Source organism: Homo sapiens, chromosome 19 (assembly GCF_000001405.40).
Source record: "Homo sapiens chromosome 19, GRCh38.p14 Primary Assembly".
Lineage (NCBI taxonomy): Eukaryota > Metazoa > Chordata > Mammalia > Primates > Hominidae > Homo > Homo sapiens.
In genome coordinates, this window is record NC_000019.10 from 31,498,536 (window position 1) to 31,502,955 (window position 4,420).

The 4,420-nt window shown below is 50.7% G+C and overlaps 2 annotated features.

Moving 5' to 3' along the window:
* Nucleotides 1,091-1,675: an enhancer, noted in NCBI's record as "H3K27ac-H3K4me1 hESC enhancer chr19:31990532-31991116 (GRCh37/hg19 assembly coordinates)". NCBI's record gives its function as "activates a minimal SCP1, AML or CMV promoter by ChIP-STARR-seq in naive H9 embryonic stem cells {active_cell/tissue: H9 hESC(naive)}" and the evidence as "EXISTENCE:reporter gene assay evidence [ECO:0000049][PMID:30033119]".
* Nucleotides 1,676-2,260: an enhancer, noted in NCBI's record as "H3K27ac-H3K4me1 hESC enhancer chr19:31991117-31991701 (GRCh37/hg19 assembly coordinates)". NCBI's record gives its function as "activates a minimal SCP1, AML or CMV promoter by ChIP-STARR-seq in naive H9 embryonic stem cells {active_cell/tissue: H9 hESC(naive)}" and the evidence as "EXISTENCE:reporter gene assay evidence [ECO:0000049][PMID:30033119]".

Sequence of the window (4,420 nt, forward strand, 5' to 3'; positions counted from 1 at the left end):
CTAGCCTTGATATTAGTCCCTTGTCAGTTTCAGTCGTTGTAAATATCTTTTTGCATTCAGTTACCTGCCTTTGACAGTTGCTTCCTAGCCACAGCAGACAAACGACAGAATGAGAGATTCCATGGAGAAAGAGCCCCCATCTGTGCCGTCATTGTCCTAAGCTCTTTAAAGCAGTTCTCAACAACATTTTCTCACATTTTTGTACAATGCCCTGCCGTCTAACAATATATGCATATTTATGAATTTAATTATTAAAACAACCCCAAAAGATAGCTATTGCCACTCTCCCTGTATTTTGTAGCTTGGTAAATGAAAGCCTAGCTAGCTGAAGTGACCTGCCCAAGGTCACACAATTTTTACATGTTGTCAGAAAATATTTACCATCAGCTCCATTCTTCCCACGGTCCAACAGAGCTGAGGGCTGAGGGCAGAGAAAGGACTTCCATCAGATCAGGTGATAATTCAGTCCCTTAGGAGAGGTGAAGACTGCTGAGTGGACCCAAGCGATTCAGCCTTGGAGCCAGGGGTCTGGAGACAAGGCCTACCTGTATTACCAGCTCCATGTTTGGGTGAAACATTTCTCCCGTCTAGGCCTAAATTTCCCAATCCAGAAAACAAGCTCAATTGTCATAATGACAATGACCTCCCAAATGAATCACGAAAGTTAAAAGAAGTAATATAAACTGTGAAGTATTTTTACCCAAAAAGTCTAAGGAATTAGTTCACCTGGACAAAAACCCTGGGTTGGAGTAGCTATGTCAGGGTTTCAGGCTTAGCTCAGGTCCTGAAAAGCTGTGTGGCCCTGGGAAAACTCCTTCACCTCTCTGGGCTGCAGGGTGCTTATTGGTCTAAGGAGGCCCTTACACACATCTCTACAGGCCCTTCCAGCCTAGAGATTCAAGCTGAACCTGAGCTAGGGTCAGAGGCGGTTCCCAGGGAAAGAGCAGGGGGGTGTGTGTGTGTGTGTGCGTGTGTGTGTAAGTGTGCATGTCTGACTTGTGCATGTATAAGTACACCTCTGAGTTCACATGTGCATTTGAGCCTGTGTAAGCAGGTGCATATATGTGCATATATGTGCATATGTGAGGCTATGCTTGTGTTTCGGAGCATGCATGTGTGTGTGTGTGTGTGTGTATGTATATATTTGTATATATCTATGCATGTAAGCATATGTGTTTGTATGTGAAGAGAGTGCTGTATCTTGAAAAAAATGTTTTTGAGAATTAATAGATGTGCATCTTTTCCTTGAATTTCCTGGATTATACCCCAAGGCCCTTTCTTCCCACACAATGAGAAAGGTGTGGTTTGCTGTTCTGGGGACTGGGCGGTGGTGACAGAAGGCAGATAGTAGGGACGGGTGTCATGGAAGCATCCAGATGGGTGTGCACTCTTGCTTCCTTGGGTTTTCAAGCCCTCCTTTCTCTGCAGAGTCCCAGGTTGGGCTGGTGGAAGAGGCAGGAACCAGGAGGACAGGACAAACAGGGCTGAGAACAGAAGTGCCTGAGCATGGGGAGCCAACCTGGAGAGCCTGGCCTTCTTGGCCTCTTCCTACCCTCTGATGAGCACCAGCGCCTAGCAGCAGCCCACAACAGACACTCACAGGTGTGTTGGGGCTGTGTGTGCTGGGGGTGGGGTCTCTGCTGCTCGGCTCACGGTGTTGGGGAGGACTGACTTTGCTGCATGGGAAAGGGCAGGGATAAGGAGCAGGGCTGCCCCAGTCCAGCCGGATCCAGGCTCTGATGGACATGGCAGCCCTCACTCCTTCTCCTCCAGCCCTGTGGGGTGCAGCTGTTGGCCTCTTCCTGCTGCACCACTTCCAGAGCCACCTGGGCCTGGCAGTTTGTCACCACTAAAAGCCTCATATCCTGGCTCCCCCTGCACTATTAATCTCAGAAAAACGCATTGTCAAACCTAATGAAAAAGGGGAAGCCACCAAGGAGAAGGTGTCCACACCTCGGGCTGACAGTTGTCAGGCAGGCGGGCAGCAGCGTCCTGCTGGGGACAGAGCTGGATGAACAGAAGCAGTGGAAAGTGCCTGGGGAGATGGGCACGGGGACTCAGGACCCCGTGCACGGGGTGAGCTTGTGCTTGCCAACAGCAGAGGAGGGAGGACCAAGGACAGGAGGCCTGGGGCCTGGAGGGACACTGTCAGGGACATGGGGCAGCACTCCCAAAGAGAAGTACCACCTGACCAGGACTCCCAGAAAAGGAAGCCCCTGGCAGCTGCCAGCTGTGTCCCCAGCCCTGTCCTATCCTCTAAGACCAAGCAAAGGGGGAAGGACTGAGCTCCAATCAGAGGCCATCAACGGAAAGGCCTCAGGCCTCACCTGGCCCATTGAAAGGTTTCACTTGGTCTGTTGAGTGTTGAAATTGTTTTCAATGATATAAAATTTTTAATTGGGATAGCCTATGTAAAGAGCGAGATTTGCAATTTCTCTTGAAAAATGAAAAAAAAAACTGACCATTTTTGGTTTGGGGGTGTGATGAGCTGTAGCTGCAGGGTCGTGACTGGTGGGCATGGGCTTGCCGGCCGCCCTGGCCGCAGCACTCCTGGCGGCTGGCCACATCCCTTGCCACTCACTGCGGCAGCCGTGGAAGTCTTCGTTATTCATAGATGCCAAGAATCTTCAGTGTCCTGCAGCTGCGTATGAATTTCTCTTTCTGCTCTCCCTCAGCCATGTGTTGGTGCTGTGGGACAAGCCAGGGTTTTGCTAGCATGAAAATCAAAGGCAGTATATTTTAGCCTTCCCATCACAGACCCTCTCCTGTCCCCTTCTCATTCCGGGACTGGTTCTCTCTCTTATTCAGCCACCATTGCAGTTCACAGCCCTCCCTCCAAAGGCTCCTATGAACCCAGAGATCATAAGTCAATCTCCCCCTGGACCCACCACACCCCTTGTAGATTGCCCAGGCTGAAGACTGATAATTTGGAGCTCTTTCAACAGGCAGTGCATTCTGTTGGCAAGTGGGTTCTGAGCATCTCCTGCCATTGTGTGCCCAGATGGGGGAACAAGGGGAAAGACAGCACCTGTCACATCACAGGCCCAAGGCTGCCAGAGAGTGACCAAACCCAGAGAGGTAACATATGTGTGACAGATGAGTGTGGAGCAGGCTGGAGTCAATCAGGAGGGCTTCCTGCAGGAGGAGGAGCTTAAGCTGGCTAGTGAGTGAGTGGAACAGGGTGAAGAGCTTGCTTGCTGGAGCAGGCTAGGCCTGAGCTCCAGGATTTGATCTTTTTGGGTATAGCTATGTGCTGTTGGGTGTGGCATTTAGGATCTCTAGACCTCAGCCTCAGTATCTAAAATGGGAATGGTTCTAGTGTCTACACCCTTTCCAGCCTCAAGTACTGCAAGGCTCAGCCTCTGTCTTTCTGGAGTGGTTTGGTCATGTTTGCTGGAGTGAGTCCCTCCTGGGCTTCCTTAGGGCTGGTCCCATCTGCTCTGTGTACCGGGACTCAGGATAAGCCACATGGGAGGTGACCAAGAATCACTTTTTATTTGGCCAAAGATGGGGGAGGCATTGTAGGGATTACTGCAGGAGCCAAGGTCACTGCCAAGTAGATGAGATGGAGAACAAACCCACGAGGTGTTCGCTGCAAGTTGAAAAGTGAAATACTTGGCCTAAGCGGTTTCATAACATTCCTCCTATCTCTCTATGCCCCCCAAGCCCTTTCCTACATTTGGGAGGGATGGCTGTGGTGACTGGGGAAAAAGAACTAGAGAGTTCTACCAGTTGTCTATCAGACAAGAGCCTATGATAGACTGAGGGAAGCTGGGCAGAAAATAAGCTAAGGGTCACATTGTTTCCCAAGCTCAATGAGAATTGGCAAAGCTGCATTATAATTTCAGAAGTATGTGTATGGTATAAGATAACTGTTGGCCTCATTGTTAACCTGGAATCCTTGGCCTCTGGGAAGGATGGTGTCTTCTTATGCCCTCTCCTTCAACTCTCAGGATGAGAAACTACAATTCTGAGTGGAAGGAAGGGCATCCCTTAGTTCATGGGGCCAGTGGGAGGCTTTCTTCCTGTGGGGCCTCTTTGAGCCTTCCAGATGGTTGGAAGTGGCCCTTTATCCTTGTGGGAATAAGGGTGAGACCGAGGGAAAAGACACCGTTAGTGCCTGGCTAGATTTTAGGATGGCACCCACTGCAGATCACCTTCTGGAGGTCTGGGACACCCACCGCAGATCACCTTCTGCAGATCTGGGGCGTCCACAGTAGATCACCCTCTGCAGGTCCAGGACACCCACCGCAGATCACCTTCTACAGATTGGGGGCACCCACCCGCAGATCACCCTCTGCAGGTCTGGGGCGCTCACTGCAGATCACTCTCTGCATGTCCAGGGCACCCACCAAAGATCACCTTCTACAGATCTGGGGCATTCACCCTAGATCACCCTCTGCGGGTCCGGGGCATTCAA